Genomic DNA, 26,070 nt, shown 5'->3' with positions numbered 1-26,070 from the left:
ACTGCTCCCCACCGCTCCGGTACCGACACGTGTTCTTACTGCCAAGTTCGGCCGCAGGATGCTGAGCCGAGCCCCGCCCCGCTCCACATTTCCCAGGCTCCGCCTCTCCTGCCCCGCCCCCGGCACCGATTGCCAATAGCGCCCCGAGGCGTAGCCAGGTCCCGCACTCCCCGTGCCCGGCCCGCCGCCTTTGTTCTCCCCCGCTCTCCCTCTTGGCCTGTGCGCTCCCGGCAAACCGAGTGGCAGCCGCTGATTGGTGGTTGTGGCGCAGCCAATCAGAAGGGGGCACCTCACGTTAGGGCTCGGAGTTTTAAACGCGCAGCCGAGGGCCGCGCGCAGGAGTAGGGAGGGCCTAGGGCGGCGGAGCCGACTCGTCGCGGCCGAGGCGCGCGCGGTCCGTGCCGGCGTCAGTCTGGGATTGGCCGGCCCGCGACTTCCTCCGCCCCCTGCCAATCGCCGGGGACGACTTCCGTGGGTTTTTCCGGCTCCCCCGCGTCGCTAAGGAGCGACGGGCTGTCGGCCAGACCCCGAGTTCTCGGTGCGCTCAGCGGCCGCCGACGCTAGGAGGCCGCGCTCCGCCCCCGCTACCATGAGGCCCCGGAAAGCCTTCCTGCTCCTGCTGCTCTTGGGGCTGGTGCAGCTGCTGGCCGTGGCGGGTGCCGAGGGCCCGGACGAGGGTGAGCGGCAAGCGCGCCGCGGGTCGGGCTGTGCTTGCGGGGGCTGCAGAGCTGTGCGGGGGCCTGGGCCCTGCGACCCCGGCGGGCGGGCTTCCGCGCGGTCAGCTCCAGAACTAGTGATGGGCGCCGAGCCCGGGGTAAACTTGGCGGAGTTGAAGGGGCGGGGGCGGTGGCTGTGGCAGTGGCAGGATCGATTTGGGGTTCCCGGGAGAGGAAGGTGGCCGGGGTCTCTTGGGCTCCGACGCCCTGGAAGACCCCTGTCACCCGAGGCTGGGAGAGGGCTGCAGAGCGCCTTTTTTGCAGCTGGGTCCTTCGCCTTAATTTACAGATTTTCGTCAGGTCCAGGCTAACTCCAGGCGAACGCGCCCAGGCAGTGGGAAGGGAGAGGGAGAGCCACTGGAGAGAAGGGGCGAGGGCGTGAAGAAACAAGTGCGAGTTCTTTGGAACAGCAAGCATTCCTTTTCAAAATGTGGTCTGTAGATTTGGAAATGATTAATCCATAGATTCTGGAGAAAGGGATGGCTTGGTTTGCACCTTTGAGAAACTAGAGATACCATTCCTTCTGCATTTAGCATTTACTGTGTGCCAGTCCCTGTACTGGGTTCTGGGAGGAAAAGATTGTGAGTGTGGTCCCTGCCCATGAAGCGCGTACTCCAGTAGGAATAGTAACAACTACTTCATGGTCCCTGCATTTTTCTTCGAAGTGAGCTAGCTGCAGACATAAGAACTCTGAAGATTAGGAAGTGCTAATTAAGGAAAAGTTGTTATTCCTAGAGAATAAGGCATCCAGGTACTGGTCTTTACCTTCTTCCTCTCTGCCCTTACTTTTAATCACTAGCTTTTTAACCTTCTGAGTTTGTTCTAATATAAATATACACTCTTTGATAATGTTAGTGTGTAGGGAAATCGTGAACTTTATACTCTTTCAAACAGATTGAGTAACTTCTGCGTGGGTCACTGATTCAAAAAGAGTCTTTGCCCAAATAGAAAAGGAAGTAAAAACCCACACTCGGCGAGAAAAACACCTGCCGAAAGGAATCCGATAGCGGGACTGCTTACAAATTGTGTCTTGAGACCTTTACCCAAATCATGTTTGTTTAAATAGTGTTTATTTAAATACAGATACCCAAAATACACTGAAGCAGAATGCAGGGGTGGGCCCCGGAATCTGCGTTTTAAGTCAGTTTTCCCTTGAGACATAGAATTAACTTCGGGAGGCACAGTGAAAGTTGAGGACCAGTGTGGGTGGAAGATGCTTTTTGGAACATAGCGGAAAAGCATATAGCACTGTCTTGGTTTTGATCCAGTGATTCTGTTTTTGGGGGGATTCTTGAGAGGCCTGGGAGAGTGGCTTTAGGAGCTGTTAGGACCAGCAAGTTTATCCTTCCGGTCAGAGGTCTTTAACACAGAAGAGTCCCTGGGAAGCAGTTGCTCCTAGGGTGAGCCTAGGAATCCCAGGGGTCATCATGGCCAAGGGCAGGCCTCCTGGGACTTCTAGCTCCGTTTTTTTTTTTTTTTTTCCTAGATAAGGTTACGCATTGTTGCCCAGGCTTGAGTGCACTGTCCTGATCATGGCTTACTTAAGCCTCAAACTCCTGGGCTCATGGGATCCTCCTGCCTCAGCCTCCCGAGGAGCTGGGACTGTAGGTGCTTGCCAACACGCCTGGCTGTTTTTTTTTTCTGGCTCTGTCGCCCAGGCTGGAGTGCAGTGACGCGATCTCAGCTCACCACAACCTCTGCTTCCCGAGTTCAAGTGATTCTCCTTTCTCCACCTCCCTAGTAGCTGGGACCACAGGCACGTGCCACCACACCCAGCTAATTTTTTGTATTTTTCAGTAGAGACGGGGTTTCACCGTGTTAACCGGGATGGTCTCGATCTCCTGACCCCGTGATCCGCCTGACTTGGCCTCCCAAAGTGCTGAGATTACAGGAGTGAGCCACCGTGCCCAGCCTGGCTATTTTTTTTCTTTTTTTGGTAGAGATGGGGTCTCACTATGTTGCCCAGGCTGGCCTCAAGCAATCCTCCATCCTTAAACTCCCAGTGTTTGGGATTACTGGCGTGAGCCACGGTGTGGGCTTACCTTGACCCTTTCTCATCCCTGAGGGCATCCCTCGGCCATTCACTGTCAAAACCTGTCATAGATTCACTGATAACTTGTCCAACAGATTTATTTCAAGTCTGCACTACCTCACCCCTCAAGTGTTTCAAGTCTCGAGGCTTTTTTTTTTCTTTTTGCTTCTGTTACATTTTAGATTTAGACAGCACAGTGGTGTCTAGGTACTTAAATGCCCTCCTTCCCCCAACATGGTTACTAAATACACCCTAAGCTCTGATGGTTTAAGCCTCCGGTTGCAGGGCTTTCCGTGTCTCAGAAGGTGCCTGCACTCTACACATCCTTCATGCTAAAACAGGAAAGGAAAATATTCTGATCCTGTTTGTTGCCTGCTTTTATGTGGTATTGGTTTGTTTAGATTTAAAAGTAAGTAGAAATTCACCTATTTTTCGTGCTAAGGAACTGTTAAACTCTCCTCCTCTTTTCATTCCTGAGACATAATTATTTTCGGAGCCATAAAAATGTGGAAACTCTAAATGATTCCACCAAAAACTTTGGGCGTATTGGGAAGAAAATCTAATGTGACAATACAGCATAGCAGTTAAGTGGTCAGGACCCTCCGCTAAGTAGCTTTGTGATCTTTGGACAGGTGACTCAAGTTCCTGCATCTCAGTTTCTTCATCTGTAAGATACAATATAACGTGTAATACAGTCTCCCTTAAGGGGTGAAGTGGTGTGTTTAAGAGCCCAGCACAGTGCCTGGTACATACAATAAATACCAGCTATCATGGTTACCGTAGCTGATAACAGTTCTTGTTTCTGTGTTTAATACAAACTCTTCAGTATTGGCTGAATGGTAGAGTTTATGCAGCTGTTTCAGGCACTTCTCTGGGGGAGATGAGAGTGATCAGCTGAGGACGGAGAGTGAGGACATCCTAAAAGGAGCTGCCTGTGTCTGAGCAGGACCCAGTGTTGTCATCAGGTGTGCCCCGTGGGAGTGGACAGGGATTGAGGCAACCTGCTCAGGTGAGGGTCCCCCACTTCAGGAGAGGCCTTAGCATGTGGGCTGAGCAATGTGGAGATGAACTTGGGAATTCATTTGTCTCATGCTGAGGAAGGTTGCATCTTTTCAGAGGGTGCTGAAAGGCTCTGGACATACATATATATATATATATATATATTTTTTTTTTTTTTTTGAGATGGAGTTTCACTCTTGTTGTCCAGGCTGGAGTGCAATGGCGTCATCTCTCGAGTAGCTGGGATTACAGGCATGTGTCACCACGCCCAGCTAATTTTGTATTTTTAGTAGAGATGGGGTTTCTCCATGTTGGTCAGGCTGGTCTCGAACTCCCGACCTCAGGAGATCCGCTTGCCTCGGCCTCCCAGAGTGTTGGGGTTACAGGCGTGAGCCATCACACCTGGCCTTTTTTTTTTTTTTTTTTTTTTTTTTTTAAATGACAGTCTTGCTCGGTCGCCAGGCTGGAGTGCAGTGGTGCGATCTCAGCTCACTGCAACCTCCACCTCCTGGGTTCAAGCAATTCCCCTGCCTCAGCCTCCCGAGTGGCTGGGATTACAGGTGTGTGCCACCATGCCTGGCTAACTTTTTTCTGTATTTTAGTAGAGACAGGGTTTCACGATGTTGGCCAGGAGGGTCTTAATCTCCTGACCTCGTGATCTGCCCGTCTCAGCCTCCCAGAGGAGCACGTGGATTACAGGCATGAGCCACCATGCCCGGCCCTGGATGTATTTTCTATCCTAGAATGTCCACCTTTAAAAATGAAGCCCAGTGAAAAGTGTTCCCCCACTAAAATGTGGACTGTTTTGCTTGCAGGGATGTGTGGGTTTCTGGTAGATAGAAGGCTAGAGCTAGCACCTTCCCAAATTGCAGAGGAATCAATCCTGGCTTGTCTGTGAGCTGGGGAGGAAATGGAAAGGTAGGGGCCTTGAGAGTCCTTAATTACATAGGGAATGTCCTATCATTTTGTTTATTCTTTAAAAAGATAATGGGATTCTTTTTTGTTGTTGTTAGTCTCGCTTTGTCACGCAGGCTGGGGTGCAATGGTGTGATCTCGGCTCACTGCATCCTCTGCTTCCTGGGTTCAAGCAATTCTCCTGCCTCAGCCTCCCAAGTAGCTAAGATTACAGGCATGCACCAACATGCCCAGCTAATTTTTGTACTTTTAGTAAAGACGGGGTTTTGCCATGTTGGCCAGGCTGGTCTCAAACTCCTGACCTCAGATGATCCACCCTCTTTGGCCTCCCAAAGTGCTGGGATTATAGGCGTGATCCACCATGTCTCGCCAAAATTCATTTTTTTAAAAGGGTCAAGAAAGAAGTTGCCTCTTAGGAATGCTGTGTCCCATGGTGACTAGTCAGCTCCCACTTAATCATGAGAGCTCTGTCACATTGTAATGTTGAGAGCCCACTTGAGGCCGACCATAGGTAAGAAGACGTCTTTGTTTTTTGTAAAATTCACCCTGTAAAGGAGTTGTCTATGTGGTCATGTTTTAGGCCTCTTCGCTGCAAACGTCAGTCTTATGCTGTGCACCGAGCCAATTAGTTTCCCTTCCTCTCCTAGCTGTGATTCCTACCTGGAAGAGTTGATTAAGTTCCCCAGTGCATTATTTCCGACCTTCCTCCAATCTTCCCATCCATCTGCTTGCAAGTAACTTTGACTCCTACTGGGCAGAGCAGCTAGGTAGTGAGAGTGGATATGGATGGTCCCAAAGCACTACTTAACTGCCAGCCGGGGCCCCTGGTGGTCTCCCTCAGGGACCACCCAGGATTTAAAAAAAAATGTCAAAAATCTCGATTACTTTTGCACCAACCCTAATACTTGGGCTTAGTCTTAATGACATCAGCACAAGATGTGTATTTCAGCCTCACACGATTCATTCAAAGACACAGGTAAATACAGTGGGCAAGATTTTCTAAATAGCACAGAGCAGAGGATCTTTTCTTTTTTCTCCCTCTTGGGGGTCTAGAATGATCTGAAAAGGGAGACCAGAAAACCTTGGGAACACTGGGTTTCCCTCTGCTCCACAGGGAGATGTCAGCCTGGCCCCTGCCTGTACTGTCAGACACACGCAGTCCCGAGACCCCAGGGGAGGTGGGCCTGCGCCCAGGCTGTCTTTCTCTGTGTTCTGCCCTCCATGAACTTCTGACAGTGCCTAGGGAGTTCCTGGTGTGGAGGGAGGGGTGGCAGGCAGGAGGCTCATCTCAGATGGGTGGGTTTGCTTTTGGCATTTTAGAGCTCTTTCTCCCTCCTCCGACAAAAGAGGATCCTAAGCCTTAAGTTGAAACAGGAATGTGCAAGTCAGGAAAAGCTGTGGGATGTTTAAAAGGAAGAGGACTGAGTGCGGGTGACTAGTGTGTGCCAGTGGGCTTTCTTGTTGGCTTTTTTGTAAAGTTTGCAGATTGGTACATGTTGACAGTGATGAACAAAGCTGCCCCCTTCTCCCTGCCCGGCACAGACCCAAGGAGTAGGCTGGAGGAGCAGAGGGCAGGCACAGCCATGTGGGGTGGGTGCAGGCTGCCTCCGTGGCTAGGCAGCCACAGAGTCCACGCGGGGTTCCTTCATCAGGGTTGGTGAGCCCCAGGAGTTCTGGGATCCCAGGGGCAGGTTTTCAGACCCTGACCTCATCCACAGCCCAAAACAGTAACTAGCAGCGTTCATTTACCTCCTGGAAAACACATCTCCAGAAAAGAATAATTGGCCCCGGAAACATTCTGGCTTCAGCGTTAATGAAATTGCCGTGCTTGCTGTGCCCAGTTCAGTTTACTGGTGTGACAGTAGCCAGAGAACCTGGTTAATAAAAATGGCAATTCCATGTTCTTTGTATCTGTGGTTTGGCAAAAAAAATAAAATAAAATAAGTTGAACCTTGAAAATAAAATATACACAATTTCTCACATTCTAGGAAGAAAACTTAGCTTCCAAGCAAAGGTGTGATTTTTGATACATGTTGACCCCATCAATTTCTATATTTGTTATCCTGGAAATTACTCAGGGGTGCCTTTATAAGTAAAATGAGATTTCCCGCCCTCTTCCCCTTCACACTTGAGCCTTTTCCTCAAGGATTATAAAACCTGAAGGGCTATTTTTTATGGGTATGAGGTAAAATGCCACCCCCTTTCAGAAATGGAATTAGTATTCCATCCTCTGCAGTGAAAAGATTGAGTACTTGTTTCCTGTTGGTACTCTTTTGGGGCCAGGCAGATAATTTGTTGATGGGAGGTGTTACTGAAGGCCCTGCCTGTGGAAAGCATACAGGGTGAGGAGGAGGCGGCACATCAGTGAGCAATAACGTTGAACACAGACAAGCTAGGGCGAGATCACGAAATGCGGTGCCCTGAAATGCAGAGTGTGGGATGTGGGTAGGGGAGCCCGAGCTACAGGAGCGAGGCCCGGGAAGACCGCAGAGGGTGGTACAAGGAAGTAGGGAGGAGGTGGCCAATGCGGAGGCTGTCTGGGCTCAGGGCAGGGTTTGCAGAGCAAGGCAGGGGGCCGCGACTCTGGAAGGGTAGGGTAGTCTGTGCTGCCCTCCAACTTCCCCTGGGACATTTGGACTTTATATTCTAGAGCTGTGGTTTTCAAATATTATTTAGCCATGACCTCCCTCTGAATGAAATTTTAAGTAGCAAACTTAGAACAGCTGGCATGAGGGAGGCCTGATGTCACCAGCCAATGACGTGGTGGGCCCCCAGGGACCACCCGGGACTTGACACATTCTGAAGTGTATGAATTTTAGGAAAGTTTTTTTTTTTTTTTTTTTTTTTGAGATGAAGTGTCACTCTGTCACCCAGGCTGGAATGCAATGGCGCGATCTCGGCTCACTGTAACCTCCGCCTCCCAGGTTCAAGCGATTCTTCTGCCTCAGCCTCCCGAGTAGCTGGGACTACAGGCGCGTGCCACCATGCCCGGCTAATTTTTGTATTTTTAGTAGAGATTGGGTTTCACCATATTGGCCAGGCTGGTCTTGAACTCCTGACCTCGTGATCCGCCCACCTCAGCCTCCCAAAGTGCTGGGATTACAAGTGTGAGCCACCGCGCCCGGCCAGGAAAGTTTTAAGGAGAGTCACCACCAGCTTTGTAACCAGTCTGGGTGTTTTCCACTCAGATTCTTCTAACAGAGAAAATGCCATTGAGGATGAAGAGGAGGAGGAGGAGGAAGATGATGATGAGGAAGAAGACGACTTGGAAGTTAAGGAAGAAAATGGAGTCTTGGTCCTAAATGATGCAAACTTTGATAATTTTGTGGCTGACAAAGACACAGTGCTGCTGGAGTTTTATGCTCCATGGTAAGGACCGCGTTCTAATTTCTGCAGGTGGACAAGCGCTGTGCTCCATTCGCTCAGCCCTTCACCCGGTCATCCAGACCTTGGGGGGTGGGGTAGGAGTGTCTGGGTGCAGGAACTTGCACTCTAGCTTTAAGAACGCTGGGAGCTCACTCGTTCTACCACTGTGCGTTGAACGGCCAGTGAGCCAGCCCTCATGGAAGGCGATGTCTTCTTGTCTCAGTCCAGTGGGTTAAAGATGAATACGTCCTCTGATGGTCACAGCTGGGGGACGGGCATTTAACAAGCGGCAATGACACAGAGCCCTGTGTTGGTAACAGACACGTCCTTGTTATAGATTCTGCTCCGACCTGTCTCAGGCCACCCTGCCTTCCTCTTCCCTCAAAGGCTGTTGCTCAGGCAGCTGCCCCAAGTGCAGGCTGTTGGCCTGTGTGGTGGATTTTTTACTACACACATAGGCCCTGCGGGGGGACCAGTCAGGCATCCCCACTTCTTTTCCTGTCTTTACTCCTCCTAGTGCAGACCGTTAGAGCTCTTGTGTCCCTCTCATCCCTTCTCCTCTACTGTTTTGAATCTCATGACCCCTGCTTTGCTCTTCTGTCTCATGCCCTTTCTGTTTCACTTCTGAGACCAAATAGGATATACTCACTTTTGTCCAGTGCCTGAGGGTCAAGCGTAGCACAAGTGTTTTATTTAAAACATGGAAATAGGCCGGGCATGGTGGCTCACACCTATAATCCCAGCACTTTGGGAGGCCAAGGCGGGCAGATCACTTGAGACCAGGAGTTTGAGACCAGCCTGGCCAACATGGTGAACCCCCATCTCTACTAAAAATACAAAAATTAGGCATGGTGGTTGGCACGCACCTGTAGTCCCGGCTATTCGGGAGGCTGAGGCAGGAGAATTGCTTCAACCTAGGAGGGGGAGGCTGCAACTAGCTGAAATTGTGCCACTGCACTCCAGCCTGGGCGACAGAGCAAGACTCTATGAGGTTATATTATTCCTCTTTCATAAATTATCAGATTTCATACTTTTTAGTTCAAAGAGACCTTAACATTCTTAAGAAGTGAGGACCTCAGAGGGCTTTTTATATGGGTCATGTTTATCAATATTTACCATATTTGAAGTTAAAACTGAGAAATTAAAAAAAAATTTTTTTGAGACAGATTTTCACTCTTTTGCCCAGGTTGGAATGCAATGGCATGATCTCTGATCACTGCAACCTCCACCTTCTGGGTTCAAGCAATTCTTGTGCCTCAGCCTCCTGAGTAGCTGGGATTACAGGCGCCTGCCACCAAGCCCAGCTAATTTTTGCATTTTCAGTACAGACAGCGTTTCACTATGTTGGCCAGGCTGGTCTTGAACTCCTGATCTCAAGTGATCCGCCCACCTTGGCCTCCCAAAGTATTTTTTGTAAAGATGGAGTTTCGCCATACTGCCCAGGCTGGTCTCAAACTCCTGACCTCAGGTGATACACCTGCCTCAGCCTGCCAAAGTGCTGGGATTACAGGTGTGAGCCACTGCACCCGGCCATGTCAAGCTCTTTTAAACTACATTCGTGAAAGTGCATTTGCCTATTCATGAGGGATCCACCCTTAAGACCTAAACCCTTCCCACTAGGTCCCATCTCCCAACACTGCCACACTGGGGATCAGATTTCAACATTTTGGTGTGGACAAACCACATCCAAACCAAAGTGGTATGTATTATTGTTGGATTTAAATCCCATAGGTACAGTTAACGTTTTTTGCCCTTCCTAATCTAATTGTTAGGTGTGGACATTGCAAGCAGTTTGCTCCGGAATATGAAAAAATTGCCAACATATTAAAGGATAAAGATCCTCCCATTCCTGTTGCCAAGATCGATGCAACCTCAGCGTCTGTGCTGGCCAGCAGGTTTGATGTGAGTGGCTACCCCACCATCAAGATCCTTAAGAAGGGGCAGGCTGTAGACTACGAGGGCTCCAGAACCCAGGAAGGTGAGCTGGTACCTGAGCTCGTAGAGGAAGAACTCCTTCCCGCAGGGAATGGGAATTTGGCTAATAGAGGAAGAAAAGCTGAGGGTACCAGGGACTGACTTTCTCAGGAACCTTAGCCCTCTGGAATGTTTATTTGCTCTTGGGGTGGGGGTGGGGGGGTAGGAGGGGGGAGTAGTGGGGTGGGCAGGGTGGGTTGGGGCGTGGCATCTTTACATTTCAGACTCTGAAACTCAAAACATGGGCAGGAGTGTTAGGAAATGGGCCAGACATGGTGGCTCACACCTGTAACCCCAGCACTTTGGGAGGCCAAGGCAGCTGGATCACTTTAGGTCAGGAGTTCAAGACCAGCCTGACCAACATGGTGAAACCCCATCTCTACTAAAAATACAACAATTAGCTGGGTGTAGTGGCTCATGAGTGTAATCCCAGCTACTTGGGAGGCTGAGGCAGGATAATCGCTTGAACCTACGAAGCGGAGGTTGCGGTGAGCTGAGATTGTGCCACTTCACTCCAGCCTGGGTGACAGAATGAGACTCTGTTTCAAAAAATAAATAAACAGGAGTGTAAGGAAATGACATCAGAGGTCACGGGTCTTGGTGGTGGTCTAGAGCACTGGTTCTTAATGTTTAGCAAGCGTCAGTCATCTGGAGGGCTTGTTCAGCTTGCTGGGCCCCAGCGCCAGAGTTTCTGATTCAGCACATTTCAGGCCAGATACAGTACAAGTCAGGCCAGATAATTTGCATTTCTTTTTTATTTTTTTTTTGAGACTTAGTCTCACTCTGTTGCCCAGGCTGGAGTGCAGTGGCATGATCTCAGCTCACTGCAACCTCCGCCTCCTGGGTTCAAGCGATTCTTCTGCCTCAGGCTCCTGAGTAGCTGGGACTACAGGCGCCTGCCACCACGTCCGGCTAATTTTTTGTATTTTTAGTAGAGACGGGGTTTCACCATGTTAGCCAGGATGGTCTCGATCTCCTGACCTCGTGATCCGCCCGCTTTGGCCTCCTAAAGTGCTGGGATTACAGGCGTGAACCACCACGCCCGCCCAATAATTTGCATTTCTTACAAGCATGCAGGGCTGCTGCATGCTCAAAATTGCTGCTGGCTCAAAGCCATGTGCTGAGAACCACAGGTGCAGAGAGCCACATCCAGGGATTCTCTGAGGATGTCTGCAATCTGGCCTGATGGATCCCTGCCTGGCTCACATTAGACACTACATGCATTTTATTAAATGAATGAACAAATAAATTATTTGATTTTTATTTAATTTTATTTCGATAAAATGTATTTAATTTTATTTTGATAAAATGTATTTTATTTTGATAAAATGTATTTTATTTTGATAAAATGTATTTAATTTTATTTTGATAAAATATTTAATTTTATTTTGATAAAATGTATTTAATTTTTGAGACGGAGTTTTGCTTCTGTGGCCCAGGCTGCAGTACGATGGCGCAATCTCAGCTCACCGCAACCTCCACCTCCCGGATTCAAGTGATTCTCCTGCCTCAGCCTCCAGAGTAGCTGTGATTACAGGGACACACCACCACGCCCGGCTAATTTTTGTATTTTCAGTAGAGACGGGGTTTCTCCATGTTGGTCAGGCTGGTCTCAAACTCCCAACCTCAGGTGATCCGCCCACCTCGGCCTCCCAAAGTGCTGGAATTATAGGCGTGAGCCACTGTGCCCGGCCTCTTATTTTAATAAAATTATTTAATTTTATTGAATGAACATGGTATCCTTTAGCAAGGGCAAATCTCTCTGAATCACTGGCAGAAAAAAAAAAAAAGATGCGGCTGCATTTTCCATTCCCAGTGTGGAGTAGAGGAAAGAGCGTTGAATAGGCTTCCGGTCCTCATAGACATAAGATAGGCCTGTGTTCTGGACGAGCGCCTTGCCCTTGCCAGGCCTTGGCATCTCATCTGTGGAGCATGGTGTCAGTTGGATGTAATCTGAGATCACATCTCTGAGGTGGTGTGAGAGGCTCTCCTCTGCTCCTTTAAGCAATGGCACTCACTGTGGCGTATACAAAGAGAATGGATTTGCTTCCGTTGATATTTAGTGTCACAGTTTGTTGACTAGGTAATACATTTATAAACTTGGTAATTCAGAGAGGTAGATTAATGAATAGTCTTTCTTCCCTGAACCTGGGTGATCCAGCTCCCCTCTAAGAAGGTACTAGTAGGCTGGGCACGGTGGTTCACGCCTGTAATCCCAGCACTTTGGGAGGCCAAGGTCGGTGGATCACGAGGTCAGGAGATCGAGACCATCCTGGCTAACATGGTTAAACCCCATCTCTACTAAAAATATAAAAAATTAGCTGGATGTGGTGGCAGGTGGCTGGTGTGTGGAGGAGGCTGAGGCAGGAGAATGGCGTGAACCCGGGAGGCAGAGGTTGCAGTGAGCCGAGATCGCGCCACTGCACTCCAGCCTGGGCGACAGCGAGACTCTGTCTCAAAAAAAAAAAAGGTACTAGTGTAACAGGTTTCTTCTGTGTTTGGAGATATTTTGTATGCATAAAAGCAGGTGTGTGTGTGTATCTGTCTGAGAGAGATTTTCTCATTTTTACAGTTATTAGTATATGTCAAATACTATCCTGTACCTTCATGTTTTTATTTAACAGATATGTCTTAGCCATATCCATACATAAAGAACTTAATCTAAAACAAATTGAAAGTTGAGTACTTCTTTATTTTAGATGGAGTCTTCCTCTGTCTCCCAGGCTGGAGTGTGCAGTGGTGCAATCTTGGCTCACCGAACAGCCTCCACCTCCGGGGTTCAAGTGGGTTCTCCTGCCTCAGCCTCCCGAGTAGCTGGGGTTACAAGCATGTGCCACCACGCCCGGCTAATTTTTGTATTTTTAGTAGAGACAGGGTTTCACCATGTTGGCCAGGCTGGTCTTGAACTCCTGACCACCCATGATCCACCCACCTCGGCCTCCCAAAGTTCTGGGATTACAGGCAAGCCACCACCCCTGGCCTAAAAGTTGAGTACTTCTATTGTTGTGAAGTAAACAGGCATATGCGTTTGGAGGTCTGTGGCCAACATTTGACTGCAAGAGACTTGGCTGTTTTGCAAACTTTAGAGCAGTGTATGCTATGTTTTGATAAAGAGGCCTCCTATGTGTTAAGTGCCTCAGGACCCCTGGGTGTGGTCTGGGGGGCAGGGCACAGACACTTCATGCTGCGAATGCGCAGAGGAGGTGCTTGTGCACGTTTCAGTTTGAAGACTGCAGCTTTGCAGGAGTGGCTGTAGATTTGGCTCCTTGGTAGATTCTGCAGTGGGGAAAAAGAGTGACAGTTTGCAACCACTCGTCCTAAGAACTGCTTGGCACATTTTTTGTACGAATTTATTGTTCCACTCCAGCCCTGGAGTCCATTTCTGGAGAATGAGGCCACAGATGGGCATTTTTTAAAAGCCTTCTCAGGTAATGCCACTGCACCTTGAGCAATGGGAGCTACTGCTCCTCTTTTAAATTTTTCCTTTTTTTTTTTTTTTTTTTGCATACATCTTATGACGTATGTAATATAGTAACATTAGATGTGAATGACTAAATATGTATATATTTTGTATGTGTTCAGGAGATGCCCCACAATGCTATCCATAGGCATATGTAATCAAAACCATTGGGAGTTGGTGAGGGTTTGCGTGGAGTTAGTACCATAGCCTGATGGTAAAGGAAGTCTCAACCATCAGTAAGTCTTAGGCCCTCTGGAGAAGTCTGCAGGCTGTGGAAATGCGATGGACAATTGTTGGGAAATAGCGAACCTTCTGACTCTTGGCTGTGTCCCCAAAACTGCAGAGATGCAGCCAGGTTTCAGGAAATCAGACACCTCCTGTTCTTGTGGGCCCCGACACTTGCTTTCTTCCCCCTCCTCATCTGCTTCTGGAGGGAGGTGAAGTGCCTGCCAGTTTGGGCCTTGTGTGCTCAGTCTTGCTTGGTTTCTTTCAGAAATTGTTGCCAAGGTCAGAGAAGTCTCCCAGCCCGACTGGACGCCTCCACCAGAAGTCACGCTTGTGTTGACCAAAGAGAACTTTGATGAAGTTGTGAATGATGCAGATATCATTCTGGTGGAGTTTTATGCCCCATGGTAAGGTGGTGTCAGGCCCTTTCCATATTCAGTACCCTGGTGGGCACTAGGTGCGGGGTGGCAGGCCCCTGCCCGTGAGGCAGGAACAGCAGAGGAGCAAGGTGGGCACGAGTTGTAGGCCAGGATTGAGGCTCCAGGTCTTCTGGAAGAAGCGTGGATGTAAGAGAGCTGTTGGGGGAGTGAATGTGGAAGGAACTGCCAAGTAGTCCATTCTTGGGTGGGAGAAGGGACCCAAAGGAAAGAAGATGGCAGAAAGAGAGGTGGTCGGAGTGGGAGCAAGTACAGTGGCTGGTCTGAGCTGCCCAGCTTGGGGAACTGAGGTGGCTGCTTCATGGGGAGGGGAGGGGAGGGACGCACAACCAGTTGCGTGGATAAGCTGGCAGCAGTCAGAGTAGAGAGCAGAGCGGAAGAAGACGGCTCTCAAGGGAGAGGGGAGCCTGGCTTCAGGAGAGACCATCTGCCTTCCCAGGAGACGGCCCAGGGTACCATCTGTCTTGGTGATTTTGTGGTGGGTCAGCTGTGGTTCTGGTTCTTGAGCAGTCCTGGTATGTCTGACCATCAGGCCACCAAGAACCGCCTCAGATGGGTGTGTTCTGTAGGGAGTCTGGGAGAGTCAGTAAGCAGAGGAAGCTTTTGGGCCTAGAACCAGCAGGTGGAGGCCATGGCTGATGCACAGGCCGGGGGGTGGGTGGCACCTTCTGCACTGTGGGGTCAGGTTTGGGACCAGGACACCCTTGTTCCAGGCAATGCCTGGATAAGCCCAAACCTGAGGCCACAGATTCTGCAGCAGAAACCTGGGAGTTGCTGGATGTGCAGATGAAAAGTGAAGTCAGGTGGGTGGTTAGAGAAGGAAATGATCTGGGAGAGAAGGAAGGAAGCGTCTGGGACACGTGGGGCACCCTTCTAACCCCCTTGCGATGCTGGAGAGACACAGACCCTTGTTTCGCTATGCATGGGGCCCTGGCCTGATGGGTGGGAGGTGTGAGAGGGAGAGTGGCAGCTGCACATCTAACTGGTGGGTTGCTTTGTGGCTCGCTCAGGAGCCAGGTTGAGCCGACTGCTGCACAGTGCACGCTCAGCGAGTGTAGTGCGATTTCCCTGAAGTGGTTGATGATGCCTCAGAAGATAATTATCCATTTATTCACAAACAGTTTTTTGGTCTTTTGATGTGTTTTTGTGTGTGTGGTGGGAGGTTGTTTGTTTTTTTTGTTTTGTTTTCTTAGGTTTCTTTTGAGATAAGGCCTTGCTTTGTCACCTGGGCTGGAGTACAGTGGCACCATCATAGTTCACTACGCCTTGAACTCCTGGGCTCAATTGTGCTGCCTCAGCCTCCCTAGTAGCTGGGACCACAGGTGTGTGCCACCACGCCCAGCTAATATAAAAAATATTTTTAGAGATGAGGTCTTGCTATGTTGCCCCGGTTGGTCTTGAACTCCTGGCCTCAAGCGACCCTCCCGCCTCAGCTTCTGGAAGCACTGATATTACAGGAATGAACTACTGTGCCAGCCAACAAATGGTTTTGAAGTTGCAAGATGCACCCTTTAATTCATTTGGGTGTCCTAAGGACTTTGACAGGATGGTGTTTTATCTTAACTCAGGACTGAGAGCCTCCTGTGTGCCAGGCCCCAGCTGGGTGTGGGATGTTGGTTCTTTTTTGAGACGGAGTCCTGCTCTGTTGCCCAGGCTGGAGTGCAGTGGTGCGATCTTGGCTCACTGCAACCTCCGCCCCCTGGGTTCAAGCGATACTCCTGTCTCAGCCTCCCGAGTAGCTGGGATTACAGGCGCCCACCACCATGCCCAGCTAGTTTCTGTATTTTTAGTAGAGACGGGGTATTGCCATGTTGGCCAGGCTGGTCTCAAACTCCTGGCCTCAGGTGATCCACCTGCCTCGGCCTCCCAAAGTGCTGCGATTACAGGAGTGAGCCACTGCGCCCGGCCAGTTCTTGTGGGCAATGGGCTGTGTGACGCAATACTGACTCCAAGGGACTCTCCCTCATCTCCTCCCTGGGTGGTCTGTGTCAGTGAGGGTTTGTGACGCTCTTCTGTTCTCCATGCCTCTGTTCTTGTTACCTGGACCTGCCGACCCTCTCTTCGCCCCACCTCCCGTGGGCTCCTGGCTAATTCCTCGCTGTCCCTTGGATCCTAGCTCCACTGCTACTCCTCCTCTGAAGCCATCTATGACTTACATCCTTGCTGGCCCCCAACTCTCCAACCAAGAAAGTCCTCTTGCTCAGGACAGTGTCTCTCTTGGCCTCTCCATGTTTTCCCCTGTGCCGCAGTTACTAATGTCCTGTCTGTGTCCTGTACATGTGTGTACGCATGCTCCACCCCCAGTGTGTGAATGCTGTGGGATGAAGTTTGTGTCTGTCCAGCGGTAGCGCCCTCAACAGCACCTGAGGGCCTGAGGGTCTAGGAGGCATTCGGAGGCTTACTGGGTGTGGCCAGGTTACTAGGGAGCACAGGATGGGTTTCTGCAGCTCATTTAGCTAGAAAGTGAGTCCACACTAGAATGAGCCCCTGACAAACCAGTTTCCTCTTGGCAGGTGTGGACACTGCAAGAAACTTGCCCCCGAGTATGAGAAGGCCGCCAAGGAGCTCAGCAAGCGTTCTCCTCCAATTCCCCTGGCAAAGGTCGACGCCACCGCAGAAACAGACCTGGCCAAGAGGTTTGATGTCTCTGGCTATCCCACCCTGAAAATTTTCCGCAAAGGAAGGCCTTATGACTACAACGGCCCACGAGAAAAATATGGTATGGCCACTCCCTTCTCTCCCACTACAGTGGGGAAGGGAAACTCCCTAACAGGAAGCTGCCATTGAAGGTGCTGGGGGCTGGCAGGCATGGGCCATGGGAAGTGGGCAGTTCTTAGTGCCCCTGCTCAGGCGTGTGCCCTGCTCCCAGGAATCGTTGATTACATGATCGAGCAGTCCGGGCCTCCCTCCAAGGAGATTCTGACCCTGAAGCAGGTCCAGGAGTTCCTGAAGGATGGAGACGATGTCATCATCATCGGGGTCTTTAAGGGGGAGAGTGACCCAGCCTACCAGCAATACCAGGATGCCGGTGAGTTGTGGCCCTCTGGGCTGAACAAAATGTGCGTGCCTTGGGCCGTCTGCGGTTGCCTGGTTTTTCAGAAAGCTCCTGGGACATCCATTAGGGGGTGGTTTGATGAGCCATCTCTGGGAATAAGCTTTCCATTCTGGGGTTGGAGTTGGGGCTGGGGCTGGAGATGGGTCCCCTGTGGCCCTCCTGGCCTCGGTGCAGGGGAGGGGCACAGTCAGACCGGTCCCAGCTCCATGTCTGCCTTCCAGAGCCCGAGGAGGGCAGGTCTTCAGGCCATAAGGTGCCGGCCTCTGAATCAAACCAGCTTTCAAGGCCTGGCTCTTCCAGTTATTATCACTGTGACCACAGGTGGTGACTCAGTTAGCCTAGTGGTCTCTTGCCCAAGGTGGTGGTCTTTTCTGAGAGGTTATTACACTGAGATAATGTAGATGAAGAGCTTAGCAATGTACTTGATAATGCTAAGTGTATTATAAATGCTAGTCTTGCTAGCCTGAGGAGTGAAATGACTGTGAACAGCTGTCAGCAATAGTGTTCTGTTGGGGTAGGGGCAGGCAGCAGTTGCCCCATCCTGAAATCCATCGTCTGCCTTGGTCTGGCTCCTGATGCCTGGGGACAGGTGTACTCAGGGTCCTGGCCATCCTCATTGATGTCTTCTGAGTGCTACCCTCTCCCACTACACCAAAACCAGCTTGGCTAAGTGCTAACTGATTATAATTTTTCAAATGCACAGCTTGCTACTTAGTGCTAATTCTGTGCTTTACAATAACAATTGTGCATAAGTCAAATGCAGATTAATGTATAAAACCAGTAGAGCTAAATTCCCTTCATCTGTTAATTAGGTGGCCTTGTTATTCACGCCTAACTAGTCAGGAAGAAACTTGCAGAAGGAAACCCCAACCCACCCAGGGTTATGGGCAGCAGGGGATTCCGTAGCCCCAAGTCTGACTGCAAGTTACGTGCATTGATGTGCATGCAAATCCCCAGGGAATTTGTTAAAATGCAGGTTCCAGTGCTGTGGGTCCCAGGCAGGCCTGGCACCACATTCCTAGGAGTCAGTCTGTGATTTGGCTTGGGCAGGGTTAGGGCTGCAGATGGGGCAAGAGTCACTGGGCCTGCTTATGAGAGAGGGGTTAGCCCCAGGGACACAAGATGTTCTACAGATAGGTTGGCAGGGCCGGAGCAGAGAGGGCGGCTGGGGGATGAAAGGGTCTGTGGTCCTGGGGTGGGCAGGAGGTGAAGTTCTTGATGCGGGTCTGTCTCTGCCTGAAGCCAACTGACTACAAATCCCCAGGACACCTGGAGGCTTAAAACAGGCGCCATCTAGATAGCTGTAGCCTTATTTATTTATTTTGAGACCGGATCTCACTCTGATTGCCCAGGCTGGACTGCAGTGGTGTGATCTCGACTCACTGCAGCCTTGACCTCCCCAGGCTCAGGTGATTTTTCCACCTCAGCCTCCCAAGTAGCTGGGACTACAGGTGAGCGCCACCACATCCAGCTAATTTTTTTTGTGGAGACAAGATTTTGCCATGTTGCCCAGCTGGTCTTGAACTCCTGGGCTCAAGTGATCCTCCTGCCTCGGCCTCCCACAGTGCTGGGATTACAGACATGAACCACAGCACCCAGCCCGTGTGGCCTTATTTAGTGGATTTTAATGCCTCTGTTTTACAGAGAAGGGCCTGTGGCTCGGAAGGTTAATAACTAACAAGTCTAAAGCTACGCAGTTAGTAGGTCACAAACCTATCATATGAATCTAAGTCCATCTGACTCTGAAAGCCACAGGCTTATCCAGGCTGCCCCCCCATCCCCTGCCCTCCCAAAAACATGGTTTACCATCTCAGCCACATGTGTCCTATAACCCAGCTGAGAGTCACAAACCTCTAGACCAAGAGCCCTTCAAGGGTAGGGTGACACCCAATGTTTAAATCTCAAAATCAGCCCAGGATGAGTTTGGATGCCTTGAGGAGGAGAATGGAGAGGGACTGAAGGTGCATTTACCTGTAGAATCTAGGGTAGGGGTTGACACTGTGGCCCACACACCCATTCTGGCCATAGCCTGTCTTTGCATGTGACATCTCATTGGAACACAGCTTTGTCCACACCCTGTCCAGCTGCTTTCACACTGCAGCAGCAGAGTTAAGCAGCTGGGACAGACCACATGGTCCTTAGAGCCTTAACTACTCACTCTCTAGTCCTTCTCAGAAAGTTTGCCCAGCCCTGTGGTAGGGTGCCCTCAGACCGTGGGGTTTCATCATGCATTTTCACGGATTTAAGTAAAAGTATCTTTAGCCAAAGAACTTCATTCGGAGCTCCAGCCCACAAACAGGCAGCCCACCAACTTGAGGAAGGGAGATTTAAACCTCCACGAAGGGTGCTGGGTGTGAAAACTCCACATAGGGATATAGGACTGTGTGCTGCTCATGTGGGCTCCAGAACATTCCCCCTGCCAAAGAATCAGTGCTGCTTATAGACATCAGTTGACAGCAGCTTCTGGCAAATTAGCTGTTTTTCTGTGAACTTTTCCGGGGTTTTTTTGTTGTTGTTGTTATTTATTTTATCTTTATAGAAATGGGGTCTCACCATGTTGCCCAGGCTGGTCTTAAACTCTTGGGGTTGGCTGAGCACAGTGGCTCATGCCTGTAATCCCAGCACTTGGGGAGGCCAAGACAGGCGGGTCACTTGATGTCAGGAGTTCGAGACCAGCCTGGCCAACATGGTGAAACCCTGTCTCTACTAAAATTACATAACATAGCCAGGCATGATGGCATATGCCTATAGTCCCAGCTACTTGGGAGGCTGAGGCAGGAAGGAGAATTGGCTTGAACTTGGAAAACAGAGACTGCAGTGAGCCGAAATCACGCCACTTCACTCCAGCCTGGGGGACAGAGCAAGACCCCGTCTCAAATAAATAATAAATGAACTAACTCCTGGGCTTAAGCAGTCCTCCTGCCTCAGCCTCACAAAGTGCTGAGATTACAGGCGTGAGCCACTGTGGCCGGCCAGGATTTAGACGTTATACCTTGTACCAAGTTTTTAAAAACGAACCTCCTTTCAAGTGTTTAAGTTATAGGAATTGTCCACACAATTTTTGGTGGTGACTTTTTTTCTTTTCTTTTTCTTTTTTTTTTTTCTTTTTAAAGACAGTCTCACTCTGTCGCCCAGGCTGAAAGTACACAGTGGCGTGATCTCGGCTCACTACAACGTCCACCTCACCTCCCCAGTTCAAGCAATTCTTGCGCCTCAGCCTCCCAAGTAGTTGGGACTACAGGCTTGCATCACCACACCCGGCTAATGTTTGTGTTTTTAGTAGAGACAGGGATTCACCATGTTGGCCAGGCTGGTCTCAAACTCCTAACCTCAAGTGATCCACCTGCCTGGGCTTCCCAAAGTGTGCTGGGATTACAGGCGTGAGCCACCGCGCCCAGCCTACAGTGGTCATTTTCAGAACATTTGCTTTGGCTGATGTGGGTAACGAATTAAATCTCAGACATTTAGGCAATTTTCAAAATTACATCTTATTCTGTTAACGTTTCAGCTAACAACCTGAGAGAAGATTACAAATTTCACCACACTTTCAGCACAGAAATAGCAAAGTTCTTGAAAGTCTCCCAGGGGCAGTTGGTTGTAATGCAGCCTGAGAAATTCCAGTCCAAGTATGAGCCCCGGAGCCACATGATGGACGTCCAGGTAAGCGGGCCCCTCTGCCATGCCAGCCCTGGACACCCCGCAGGCATGAGGACTCTGCTTTGAGCCACCTCTGAGGTTTCAAACGTGGAGGTTTCGCTCTTGTCTGCAGGGTCTGGAACTCCTTTTCCAGCCCGTTCTCCCCACCCCACAGGTTTTCTGCAGGCGGCCTGTGGTCTCTCTTTGCCGGAGGGACAGGGCTGGGGCTCCCGCACACCTGGCAGGTCCTGGGGCTGGGCAGAGCTCCACTTGGTTTTGCCAGAACAGTTGCTGCCACCCTTTGTCCCTCCTGGCAGGCAATCACCAGTCTCCCTCCAGTGCCTGTTCCACTGTGGGTTTGGCCTGGGCCAGCACATGGTGCTCCGTTGAGGCCAAGTCGTGTTTGTTCGGGCAGCTCCAGCTGGGGGCTACAGAGGGACAGCATCCCTGTCTGTTCACCAGAGGGAGCTGTTGACCTTGGTGGGTGGATTTTGCCTTTCTTTCCATTACTGCACCCCTGCACTTCATCCTCCTAGAGTGTGACACACTCAGCCCTAGAGGGGCAGTGGGAGTTCCCAGCCCAAGGGGAACCTGGGGCCAGTTCAGCCTTCTGAGTGCTTTAGAAGGGGCCCTGCACTTCGGTGAGTAGATCTCAGATTTGGAAGGATCTTAGATGTCGAGTTTGAAGCTTTGGTTTAACAGAGATTGGGCTGCAGAGAAGTGAGCTCTACCCCCCACCCCAGACCCCACAGCTCCTGGTGGGAAGCAGAGCTGAGATTGGGGTGAAGGGGCCTTTCCAGGTCCTACTGGCCCATAGTGTCAGGACCCTGGCTGTTTGGGCTGTGGGCTCTCATGGGACCTGGAGCAGGGGGTGTGACAGGACAGGAATCCCGGGGGCCTGCACCAGAACATGGCAGTACCTTGGAGAGAACCACCCTGAATCTTTCTGGTCCCCATGTCCTCTGTTTCCTTCCTCAGTTTTTAGTCCTGTCCCTCTTTCTCAAGGTCTGTGTGTCCATCCCATCTGTTTCTCTGCCAACTTGAAGCTCAGGGCAACTCTCCTCTTCCCTGGACTCATAGTGGCTGCTGCGACCCCTCCCCCCAGCTTCACTTCCTTCCATCCAGAGATAAGATCCTGGGCCCAAAGAGGGGTCCTGATGAGCTTGGGGGGCCATTGATCCCGAGAATCGGACACAGCTCTGTGTGTGAGTGCATATTCCAGGAAAGGGGTCTGTAGCTTTCAGTAGACGCTTCAAGATCTATGCAGTCTTGTCTGTTGGGCACATTGCTGCTGCTCCCAGTTCTTCTGGCGTTTCCCTGCTGAGTGAAGTGCACGCAGCGCCATGTCATGGTTAAAGACTCCACGGCCTCCTGCCACCTGGGAGATAGTTGGATTATCTGTGCCTTAGCATGGCCTCCCAGGCCCTCCTTACCCACCTTTTCAGCACATCCCACCCTCCAGTGCTGTCACGCCAGATCCTGTTTGTGCCTCGTGCCCTGCCTCAGTCTCTGCTGCCTCCCTGAGTGCCTTCTGCTCCCTTCTCACCAGCGGGGCCCTCTTGTCCTTCAGTGCCACACAAGGACCCCTCCCTGAGTATCCCATCCCCACGGAAACCCTTGGGCTCACAGGCCCACCCACCACTTGCTGGCTGCGCAGCCTTGGGCAGGTGGCTGACCTTGCTCTGCCCACCCCTGGAGGGCGATGTCTGTGAGGGACTCCAGTCGTTGTGAAGTGTGAGCCCTCAGGACCTCCTGCGTGAAGACCGCACAAGCTGAAGGTGGAAAGTTCCACACAGCCCAGCCCGTGATAACCCTTCCTGTCTGCCAAGAGCCAGGCCTACCTTGAGTGGTCTCTTTGTGGGGTTAGTGAGCCTACACCCCCAAGGAAAGGGCCAAGGTGTTTGCCTTTTCCCAAGAAGCCACCTACGGTTCACTGGAGGGAAAGGAGCCCCAAAAGACGGTAGGGAATGACTGGGCTGTGCTTGAGTGGGGTCGAGCCCTGGGGTGTTTTGCCTCCTAAGACTGATCCCCTTCAAAGTCGCCACTCCCCCAAAGTCCCTCAAACATTGTACTCAAGAACAATGGTGGGGAGATGGTGGGCCCCCTCACCTGTTCCCTCTTTGAAGCAGGGCTCCACCCAGGACTCGGCCATCAAGGACTTCGTGCTGAAGTACGCCCTGCCCCTGGTTGGCCACCGCAAGGTGTCAAACGATGCTAAGCGCTACACCAGGCGCCCCCTGGTGGTCGTCTACTACAGTGTGGACTTCAGCTTTGATTACAGAGCTGGTGAGGGACCCCCACCAAGACCTGCGGGGGTGGGGGGTGGGGGGACTCGTTCTTTCAGGCAAGGTGGAGTGTTGAGGGGAGGTGTGGCTGTATGTACATGGCTCACTCAGAAATCCCAGCCTGGGGCCCTTGCACGTTGGTGGCTCAGGTATATTTTTTAATTGATGGCTTCCCTTTTTAGCAGGATGGGAGCTTAGATTCAGGTGCAGAACCCTCTTAGAGTTGACGTAGCTGAGACTTGGAGGAGTTCAGAGGCTGCAGAGCTGGGACTAGACCAGCCCTGGCCCCAGGCAGGCGTGGCCGTGCCACCTGGGCACAGGTCTTAAGGGCCTGTTGGGCTTGCAGCTGTGGCCCCCGTGACAAGTGGGGCTTTTCCAGAAACATGTTTCCCTCCAATTGAGGTAAATCCAGGGTTTGAGCATTGTCAGAATATTAGCGACAGGACCTGAAGCCTGACCTCAGAGTCTGAGCTGGGACTTGCTCTGTGTGGCCGCCTGGCTTATGGCCCTTGGTCCCTTTCAGCAACTCAGTTTTGGCGGAGCAAAGTCCTAGAGGTGGCCAAGGACTTCCCTGAGTACACCTTTGCCATTGCGGACGAAGAGGACTATGCTGGGGAGGTGAAGGACCTGGGGCTCAGCGAGAGTGGGGAGGATGTCAATGCCGCCATCCTGGACGAGAGTGGGAAGAAGTTCGCCATGGAGCCAGAGGAGTTTGACTCTGACACCCTCCGCGAGTTTGTCACTGCTTTCAAAAAAGGTGAGCCCGTGGCTGGGGCTGGGGTCTCCCATCAGCTGCTGTGCTCCTCGTGCGGAATCCAGACAGGCCAGGGGCGTCTGGTGCTCTGGCCACGGGCACGACACCCCCTTAAGTCAGCCAGCAGTCCTCTCTCACCCCCGAGGGACTCTGACTTCTCGTCCAGAGAAATGTCGGGTGTGACCCCAAACTCCAAGGCACCAGAATAGCTTAGAAGAAGGATTTGCAAGTGTTACTATTTTCTTCTTGGCAGTTCTCCCAGTGTTTACTTTGAAAGCAAAAGCAAGATTCGGAGTCCATCTCAGGGCTTACCTAGCATCACTCAGCGGCCTTAGCACATTTCCAGCGCTGATGTGCTAAAATTCCAGACTAGGGCCGGGGTGTGCAGAGGGGGCATCTGAAGATGGAGCCCAGACAGGGCAAAGTCTGGGTGTGCTGAACACCCCTTGTGGCTTCAGAGCCTGACTCAGAGCCTCTTCACCCTCGGCCACCTTGCTGTACAGCTTTAAACAGAGCCTGTTGATCTTGGCTGAGCACATGGCCCCAGGCCCCCAGCGCTGGCCACATTTTGTGGGCAGGCCATGCTGTTCCGATGTCTGTGGGTTGTCCTGGCACCTCCCCCCCATGGCTCCCGGGCCCTCAGTGCCAGTGCTTACGGGAACTCCTCTGCCTGGGCAGTGACTCTTGTGATGGCCTCTCTGACAGGACCCGATGGCCCATTAGGTCTGGGCTGGAGCCACCTGCAACCTCTCTGGCCTTTGCAAGGACAGAGAGTAGAGAGTAGCAGCTACTACTTTCTACAGTAGTGGGCTCTTCCTGTGTGACTGGCCCGTCTGGTGGCCACACCAACCTCACTGCCTGGTCCAGAGAGAGCCCCCAGAATCTTTGGCCTTTGCAGCACTGACGCCCCCTCCCGCCTTGCTTTCCTTGGCAGGAAAACTGAAGCCAGTCATCAAATCCCAGCCAGTGCCCAAGAACAACAAGGGACCCGTCAAGGTCGTGGTGGGAAAGACCTTTGACTCCATTGTGATGGACCCCAAGAAGGACGTCCTCATCGAGTTCTACGCGCCATGGTGCGGGCACTGCAAGCAGCTAGAGCCCGTGTACAACAGCCTGGCCAAGAAGTACAAGGGCCAAAAGGGCCTGGTCATCGCCAAGATGGACGCCACTGCCAACGACGTCCCCAGCGACCGCTATAAGGTGGAGGGCTTCCCCACCATCTACTTCGCCCCCAGTGGGGACAAAAAGAACCCAGTTAAATTTGAGGGTGGAGACAGAGATCTGGAGCATTTGAGCAAGTTTATAGAAGAACATGCCACAAAACTGAGCAGGACCAAGGAAGAGCTTTGAAGGCCTGAGGTCTGCGGAAGGTGGGAGGAGGCAGACGCCCTGCGTGGCCCATGGTCGGGGCGTCCACGCCGAGGCCGGCAACAAACGACAGTATCTCGGATTCCTTTTTTTTTTTTTTTAATTTTTTATACTTTGGTGTTTCACTTCATGCTCTGAATACTGAATAACCATGAATGACTGAATAGTTTAGTCCAGATTTTTACAGAGGATACATCTATTTTTATCATTATTTGGGGTTTGAAAAATTTTTTTTTACACCTTCTAATTTCTTTATTTCTCAAAGCAGATAATTCTTCTGTGTGAAAATGTTTTCTTTTTTTAATTTAAGGTTTAAAATTCCTTTTCCAAATCATGTTGATTTTGCTCTTTGCTTTTTCGTTGTCTGAGAAATTGTTGGCGTAGATTTGGCTTCTGGTATGTGTTTCTGATTGCTTCCTGTTGAGCACAAAGTGAGAGCTGCCACTGAGCAGCCCTGCCAGGGGTGCTGTTTCAGGCTGGGCATCGCCAGGCGGCCTCCCTGCAAACCAAGGGCTGGGGGCAAAGGGGCATGATCCAGGGTCCCCCAGGGTGGGCTCAGCTCCAGGGAGAGGCCACCCACGTGGCAGCCCCACCTCTTGAGAGCCCCCAGTGCCGGAGCAGAAAGGACCCTGGACCCAGAGGCAGATACTGCGGGGTGGTAGAAAAGGTAGAGTAGGCTGTGGCAATGGAATAAAACACGATTAAAAACGTTAAGAACTGCGTTAGAAAACATCTGATCTGTGCTGCTGGGAGCCTCGGGGTGGGGCAGGAGCTGGATGTAGCTAAGCCCTGCAGAGGCCTGGCAGTAGCCCCCACCTCCTTCCAGACACAGGTGGGTGGAGATCATC

The 26,070-nt window shown here is 51.2% G+C and overlaps 1 protein-coding gene across 8 annotated transcripts, besides 11 other annotated features; it reads left to right on the top strand.

The window, feature by feature from the left end:
• Positions 1–580: a silencer, noted in NCBI's record as "silent region_18743". NCBI's record gives its function as "represses an Ori minimal core promoter by ATAC-STARR-seq in GM12878 lymphoblastoid cells {active_cell/tissue: GM12878}" and the evidence as "EXISTENCE:reporter gene assay evidence [ECO:0000049][PMID:35858748]".
• Positions 1–778: a biological region, named in NCBI's record as "H3K27ac hESC enhancer GRCh37_chr7:148725312-148725905".
• Positions 185–778: an enhancer, noted in NCBI's record as "H3K27ac hESC enhancer chr7:148725312-148725905 (GRCh37/hg19 assembly coordinates)". NCBI's record gives its function as "activates a minimal SCP1, AML or CMV promoter by ChIP-STARR-seq in naive and primed H9 embryonic stem cells {active_cell/tissue: H9 hESC(naive and primed)}" and the evidence as "EXISTENCE:reporter gene assay evidence [ECO:0000049][PMID:30033119]".
• Positions 493–25,947, top strand: PDIA4 (protein disulfide isomerase family A member 4). 8 transcript variants are annotated; one of them, NR_163907.1, is made up of 10 exons: positions 493–677; positions 7,851–8,031; positions 9,801–10,006; positions 13,956–14,094; positions 16,638–16,843; positions 16,994–17,152; positions 20,688–20,745; positions 23,017–23,101; positions 23,624–23,857; positions 24,789–25,947. NR_163907.1 is itself a non-coding variant. In NM_001371244.1 (10 exons), the coding sequence occupies exons 1-10, from the start codon at positions 590–592 to the stop codon at positions 25,202–25,204; spliced, it is 1,941 nt and encodes a 646-aa protein (NP_001358173.1). In that variant the 5' UTR covers positions 493–589; the 3' UTR covers positions 25,205–25,947. The 8 variants fall into 8 exon arrangements, 3 of the variants coding, with proteins under 3 accessions (NP_001358173.1, NP_001358174.1, NP_004902.1); NR_163905.1 differs by having other exon boundaries at positions 7,513–8,031; positions 20,688–20,839; positions 22,945–23,101; NM_001371244.1 differs by having other exon boundaries at positions 20,688–20,839; positions 22,942–23,101.
• Positions 651–720: a silencer, noted in NCBI's record as "silent region_18742". NCBI's record gives its function as "represses an Ori minimal core promoter by ATAC-STARR-seq in GM12878 lymphoblastoid cells {active_cell/tissue: GM12878}" and the evidence as "EXISTENCE:reporter gene assay evidence [ECO:0000049][PMID:35858748]".
• Positions 779–1,373: an enhancer, noted in NCBI's record as "H3K27ac hESC enhancer chr7:148724717-148725311 (GRCh37/hg19 assembly coordinates)". NCBI's record gives its function as "activates a minimal SCP1, AML or CMV promoter by ChIP-STARR-seq in naive H9 embryonic stem cells {active_cell/tissue: H9 hESC(naive)}" and the evidence as "EXISTENCE:reporter gene assay evidence [ECO:0000049][PMID:30033119]".
• Positions 811–860: a silencer, noted in NCBI's record as "silent region_18741". NCBI's record gives its function as "represses an Ori minimal core promoter by ATAC-STARR-seq in GM12878 lymphoblastoid cells {active_cell/tissue: GM12878}" and the evidence as "EXISTENCE:reporter gene assay evidence [ECO:0000049][PMID:35858748]".
• Positions 4,868–5,447: an enhancer, noted in NCBI's record as "NANOG hESC enhancer chr7:148720643-148721222 (GRCh37/hg19 assembly coordinates)". NCBI's record gives its function as "activates a minimal SCP1, AML or CMV promoter by ChIP-STARR-seq in naive H9 embryonic stem cells {active_cell/tissue: H9 hESC(naive)}" and the evidence as "EXISTENCE:reporter gene assay evidence [ECO:0000049][PMID:30033119]".
• Positions 6,973–7,092: an enhancer, noted in NCBI's record as "active region_26807". NCBI's record gives its function as "activates an Ori minimal core promoter by ATAC-STARR-seq in GM12878 lymphoblastoid cells {active_cell/tissue: GM12878}" and the evidence as "EXISTENCE:reporter gene assay evidence [ECO:0000049][PMID:35858748]".
• Positions 10,532–10,781: an enhancer, noted in NCBI's record as "active region_26806". NCBI's record gives its function as "activates an Ori minimal core promoter by ATAC-STARR-seq in GM12878 lymphoblastoid cells {active_cell/tissue: GM12878}" and the evidence as "EXISTENCE:reporter gene assay evidence [ECO:0000049][PMID:35858748]".
• Positions 10,802–10,851: an enhancer, noted in NCBI's record as "active region_26805". NCBI's record gives its function as "activates an Ori minimal core promoter by ATAC-STARR-seq in GM12878 lymphoblastoid cells {active_cell/tissue: GM12878}" and the evidence as "EXISTENCE:reporter gene assay evidence [ECO:0000049][PMID:35858748]".
• Positions 16,021–16,187: a silencer, noted in NCBI's record as "fragment chr7:148709903-148710069 (GRCh37/hg19 assembly coordinates)". NCBI's record gives its function as "represses an EF-1alpha promoter that drives an FKBP-Casp9 reporter gene in an ReSE screen in phorbol 12-myristate 13-acetate-treated (for megakaryocytic differentiation) K562 erythroleukemia cells {active_cell/tissue: K562(+PMA)}" and the evidence as "EXISTENCE:reporter gene assay evidence [ECO:0000049][PMID:32094911]".
• Positions 25,948–26,070: the final 123 nt, after the last annotated feature.

This window comes from Homo sapiens, chromosome 7 (genome assembly GCF_000001405.40).
Source record: "Homo sapiens chromosome 7, GRCh38.p14 Primary Assembly".
Taxonomy (NCBI): Eukaryota; Metazoa; Chordata; class Mammalia; order Primates; family Hominidae; genus Homo; species Homo sapiens.
Note: the sequence above shows the minus strand (reverse complement) of the source record. Positions and strands in the feature narration are given on the sequence as shown.